We start from the raw sequence: 5,843 nt of genomic DNA, 5'->3' as shown, positions 1-5,843 counted from the left end.
TTAAAATGAAAACATCATTTGTAAGTGCCTGTAGCAGAGGCCCAGCTCCTGAGTTGCAGATGAAAAAAAAAAAAAAAAAAACTTCCCTCTGAATACATGGCAATTGCCTGATGGTCTTGGGCTTCTGGAGATGCCCTAAGCACCACATTGTGCCTTTCTTAGCAGGTTTCCAAGCCAGCGCAGGTAGATAGCAAAGAATAGGAAAACAACCAGGTGGCGATTAAGAACCCTAAGGAATTGTATCATCTTTTAGCCTCTACTGGAAGAATTTTAGACGACCAGATTTTGGCAGCAGCAGCTGAAAGCCCCACAGCCCAGAGCACTGGTAATAGAAAATGTGCACCTCTTTGAGTCTCACTGTGCTACATTAAGGTCCCATACAGGGAGAAAGAGAAAGTAGCATGGAATCTCTTCAAGAGGTCATTTTTCAAGATTAGAAAAAGAAACACAAAATTTGTTCTTTGCAGCAGCAAGAGATTGTTTCAGCCTTCAGTTCTTCTTGTTATAAAGCCACCTTTGCTTGAATGTAAAGGTCCATCTTCTTGCTGGTCCGCCGGCCAAGGGCTGAAAGCATGCTACACCACTGGAATTGGTGAATGGAAGCAGGAACAGTGAAATAGCAGGCAGATAAGGTCACCAGACAAAGCCAGCCCGTGGCTGGTTAAAAGAAGCAAGCCCTGGCCGGGCGCGGTGGCTCAAGCCTGTAATCCTAACACTTTGGGAGGCTGAGGCGGGCAGATCATGAGGTCAGGAGATCGAGACCATCCTGGCCAACATGGTGAAACCCCATCTCTACTAAAAATACAAGAATTAGCTGGGCATGGTAGTGCATGCCTGTAATCCCAGCTACTCAGGAGGCTGAGGCAGGAGAATCACTTGAACCAGGGAGTTGGAGGTTGCAGTGAGCCGAGACTGCCACTGCACTCCAGCCTGGGCGACAATGCGAGACTCCCTCTCAGGAAAAAAAAAGAAGAAGAAGGAGAAGGAGAAGGAGAAGAAGAAGCAATCCCTTGTGTAGGTTCTAGAGGTACAGATGGTCAATGTGCCACAGAAGCATCACAATTGAGAAGAATCATCCAAGAGCGATAGATAGGCAAGTGAGAATCTGGCCCATCCTGCTGTTTCCTGCTAGTCAAAAAAGGAAGGAGTGTAAGTGACCGTGAGGAATCTGAATGAGTAGCACAGGAACATCTGGGGCCTTCAGCAACAGCTGAGAGTTCCCACCTAGAAGAGTGGCAGTAATTTGGCCGGTTTGCTAAGCCTGTGATTTAAAAAGTCCTCTAACAGTGAGTTTGAAGACAAACCCCATGAGCATCTTACTACAGGACCAGTTGAGAATGCATTGATTCCAGACATGTAAGGCCTCAGGACTCTGGGATCCGAATCTGCGAGTGGATACTGCTCTCTCTTGGTTGATGGTTTTCCATTTAAACACACACACACACACACACACACACACACATATTTTTTAAGTTCTGGGATACATGTGCAGGGCATGCAGGTTTGTTACATAGGTAAACGTGTGTCTTGGTGGTTTGCTGCACCTATCAACCCATCACCTAGGTATTAAGTCCCACATGCATTAGCTATTTATCCTGATGCTCTCCCTCCCCCTGCCACCCCAGCAGGCCCCAGTGTGTGTTGTTCCCTTCCTTGTGTCCATGTGTTCTTACTGTTCAGCTTCCATTTATAAGCGAGAACATGCAGTGTTTGGTTTTCTGTTCCTGCATTAGTTTGCTCAGGATGATGGCTTTCAGCTCCATCCACGTCCCTGCAAAGGACATGATCTCATTCCTTTTTATGGCTGCATAGTATTCCATGGTGTACATGTGCCACATTTGCTTTATCCAGCCTATCATTGATGGGCATTTGGGTTGGTTCCAGGTCTTTGCTATTGTAAACACAGAAATTTATTTGCCCCTAGTGTCCTTTATATTTTTTCTTCCTGCAAAATATGTTAATGTTAAAAAAGAAAAAAAAAATTCTTTTCAATTTATTTCAAGTGTTTCTTTGTTTAAATGTCCTTCAGTTTATTTCAAGTATCTTTTTTTTTCCAGTTTCTCCTGGACAAGCTGAAAAAGACCTTACTGAAAACGCAAAATTAGGCATGAGAAAAACTTCTGTTCCCCCTTCTTACCCAGTGATAAGGGAATTCTTCATGCCCTACAATGGAAGAAGGAACAGGCTTGTGAGCAGCTAGTACATCGCTGTAGCTGCATCGTCACAGGCAGTAAGAACATTTAGAGTGTGTCCTTTCTCTCCCAGCTACACCGCACAGTTTCCAACAGTCTTGGCCACTGCAACCTCCTCATGGCAAATTGGCCACAACATGGCTGGAGAACAAGCAGGCGAGGAGGAGTGTCAGATGGAAGGCCTTCTGCAAATGGGCAGCCTACAGAACTGTGATGGGTAGGAGCCAGGCTTGGTTGGAGGCTGTGTCTGTGTGGACCAGCACAGCAGTTCCATGTCACCAGGTGCAGGACTAGAGGGGCTTCTGTCCTGTGCTGTGCATCTTGATGACCTAGGCCTGAAGGTCACAAGGGCAGCACAGTGAGGACTTAAGCACCTGGAAAACTCAACATCCAGCGAGCTCACATTTCACAACATCTTCTGGTCCACCAACTCTCCAAAGAGGAATTGTCCTTGGAAGAATGCACTTACATTTGTTCAAAATTTTTTTTGTTAGGGGAGGCAGACAGAGTCTCACTCTGTCATCCAGACTGGAGGGCAGTGGCACGATCTCGGCTCACTGCAACCTCCACTCCCCAGGCACAAGTGACCCTTCTACCTCAGCCTCCCGAGTAGCTGGGACTACAGGCATACAACATCGTGCCCGGCTAATTTTTGTATTTTTAGTGGACACAGGGTTTTGCCATGTTGCCCAGGCTGGTCTCGAACTCGTGACCTCAAGTGATCCACCTGCCTCAGCCTCCCAAAGTACTGGGATTACAGGTGTGAGCCACCGAGCCTGGCCAAAAGAGATTTATTATTATTTTTTTCTCTGGGTGGTAGAAATGCCAGTGGTTTTATTTCCTTTTTACTGATACACATTTTCTGCAGTGGTATGGTATTAATTGTGTAAAAAAAAAAACGTAAGAAATGATAAAAGGTGTTTTTCAAAGGACCCCAGTCCCATTTCCAAGGCAGATAATGGGACTGGGGTCCTCTGAAAAACACCATCAATCATTTCTTTTTTCTCTTTCTTTCTTTTTTATTATACTTTAAGTTCTGGGGTACGTGTGCAGAACGTGCAGTTTTGTTACATAGGTATACACATGCCATGGTGGTTTGCTGCACCCATCAACCCGTCACCTCCATTAGGTATTTCTCCTAATGTTATCCCTCCCCTAGCTCCCCACCCCCCGAGAGGCCCCAGTGTATGATGTTCCCCCCCCTGTTTCCACGTGTTCTCATTGTTCAACTCCCACTTATGAGTAAGAACATGCAGTGTTTGGTTTTCTGTTCTTGTGATAGTTTGCTGAGAATGATAGTTGCCAGCTTCATCCATGTCCCTGCAAAGAACATGAACTCATCCTTTTTTATGGTTGCATAGTATTCTATGGTGTATATGTGCCACATTTTCTTTATCCAGTCTATCATTGATGGGCATTTGGGTTGGTTCCATTTGGGACCCACTTGAGGGGGCAGTCTGACCCTTAGCAGAGCTTGAATGCTGTGCTGGGAAGTCTGCTGCTCTCTTTCAGAGCTGTCAGGCAGTGACCTTTAAGTCTGCTGAAGCTTCGCCCACAGCCACCCCTTTCCCTAGGTGCTCTGTCCCAGGAAGATGGGAGTTTTATCTGTAAGTCCCTGACTGGGGCTACTGCCTTTTTTTTCAGAGATGCCCCACCCAGAGAAGAGAAATCTGGCAGTCTGACCACTGCAGCCTTGCTAAACTGCAGTGGGCTCCACCCAGTTCGAACTTCCCAGTGGCTTTGTTTACACTGTGAGTGTAAAACCGGTCTACTCAAGCCTCAGCAATGGCGGACGCCCTTCCCCCCACCAAACTCCAGCATCCCAGGTCGCTCTCAGACTGCTGCTGTACTGGCAGCGAGAATTTCAAGCCAGTGGATCTTAGTTTGCTGGGCTCCATGGGGGTGGGACCCGCTCAGCCAGACCACTTGGCTCCCTGGCTTCTGCACCCCTTTTCCAGGGGAGTGAATGGTTCTGTCTCACTGGTGTTCCAGGCGCCACTGGGGTATGGAAAAAAAAAGAGCTCCTGCAGGCCGGGTGCGGTGGCTTACACCTGTAATCCCAGCACTTTGGGAGGCCAAGGCGGGCAGATCGCAAGGTCAGGAGATCGAGACCATCCTGGCTAACACGGTGAAACCCCATCTGTACTAAAAATACAAAAAATTAGCCGGGCATGGTGGTGGGCACCTGTAGTTCCACCTACTCGGGAGGCTGAGGCAGGAGAATGGCGTGAACCCGGGAGGTGGAGCTTGCAGTGAACCGAGATTGCGCCACTGCAATCCAGCTTGGGCGACAGAGTGAGACTCCATCTCAAGAAAAAAAAAAAAAAAAGAACTCCTGCAGCTAGTTGGGTGTCTGCCCAAATGGCCACCCAGTTTTGTGCTTGAAACCCAAGGCCCTGGTGGGGTGGGCACCGGAGGGATTCTCCTGGTGTGTGGGTTGTGAAGACTATGGGACAAGCGCAGTATCTGTGCTGGAGTTCCTCAGGCTCAGTTTCTCATGGCTTCCCTTGGGTAGGGGTGAAAATTCCCCCACCCCTTACACTTCCCCGGGTGAGGCAATGCCCCACCCTGTTTCGGCTCGCCCTCCGTGGGCTGCACCCACTGTCCAACCAGTCCCAATGAGATGAACCAGGTACCTCAGTTGGAAATGCAGAAATCACCCACCTTCTATGTCGATCTCGCTGGGAGCTACAGGCCGGAGCTGTTCCTGTTCGGCCATCTTGCCAGCAATCGAGATTTATTTTTATAATGAATTGGTTCACATAATTATGGGGTCTGGCAAGTTGAAAGATCTGCAGGGTGAATAGACAACCTGGAGGCCCAGGAGAGCTGATAATTTAGTTCCAGTCCAAAGGCCCGCAGGCTCGAGACCCAGGGAGAGCCAATGTTTCAGGCCAAAGGCAGAAAAAAAGTCAATGTCCCAGATTGAAGATCATCACGCAGGAAGAATTCTCTCTTACTCAGGGAAGGGTCAGCTTTTTTGTTCTTTCAGGCTTTCAACTGTTGGATGAGGCCCACTCATATTAGGAAGGGCAATCTGCTTTACTCAGCCTACTGATTTAGATATTATTCTCATGCAGGGACACCCTACAGGCTGGGTGCAGTGGTTCACACCTGTAATCCCAGGGCTATGTGAGGCTGAGGCAGGAGGATCACTTGAGCCCAGGAATTCGAGACCAGCCTGAGCAACAGAGCAAGACCCTGTCTCTACAAAAAAAAAATTAAAATAAATTAGCCAGAGGTGTTGGCATGCACCTGTCGTTCTAGATACTTGGGAGGCTGGAATGGGAGGATTGCTTGCGCCTGGGAGGCTGAGGCTGCAGTAAGCTATAGTCATGCTACAGCACTCCAGTCTAGGCAACAGAGCAAGAGCAAGACCCTATCTCTATATTAAAACACACACACACACACACACACACACACACACACCTACCTACCTTTACAGACACACCTAGAATAATGCTTGACCAAACCCTCTTGACTCCATGGCCCAGTCAGTTGACACATAAAACTATCACCTAAAAATGATTTGAACATCACTGACCTAGTGATGAGAAATGTGAAGCCAGAGAGAGGAAGGTCTTTGATCTTCAAATCTTCCTTATTGAATTTATTTTGCTGATTGAGTTTAGATGCCAGCCTTCATTCCCT

General features: G+C 47.7%; 1 long non-coding RNA gene across 1 annotated transcript; it reads right to left on the bottom strand.

Moving 5' to 3' along the window:
• Positions 1 to 2,009: 2,009 nt before the first annotated feature.
• Positions 2,010 to 5,843, bottom strand: LINC02243 (long intergenic non-protein coding RNA 2243). The gene is made up of 3 exons (NR_134925.1): positions 5,737 to 5,843; positions 4,857 to 5,192; positions 2,010 to 2,527 (listed from the first exon to the last, which is right to left on the bottom strand). It is a non-coding gene; the product is annotated as a long intergenic non-protein coding RNA 2243 (long non-coding RNA).

The sequence above is a fragment of the Homo sapiens genome, chromosome X (assembly GCF_000001405.40).
Source record: "Homo sapiens chromosome X, GRCh38.p14 Primary Assembly".
Classification (NCBI taxonomy): Eukaryota; Metazoa; Chordata; class Mammalia; order Primates; family Hominidae; genus Homo; species Homo sapiens.
Note: the sequence above shows the minus strand (reverse complement) of the source record. Positions and strands in the feature narration are given on the sequence as shown.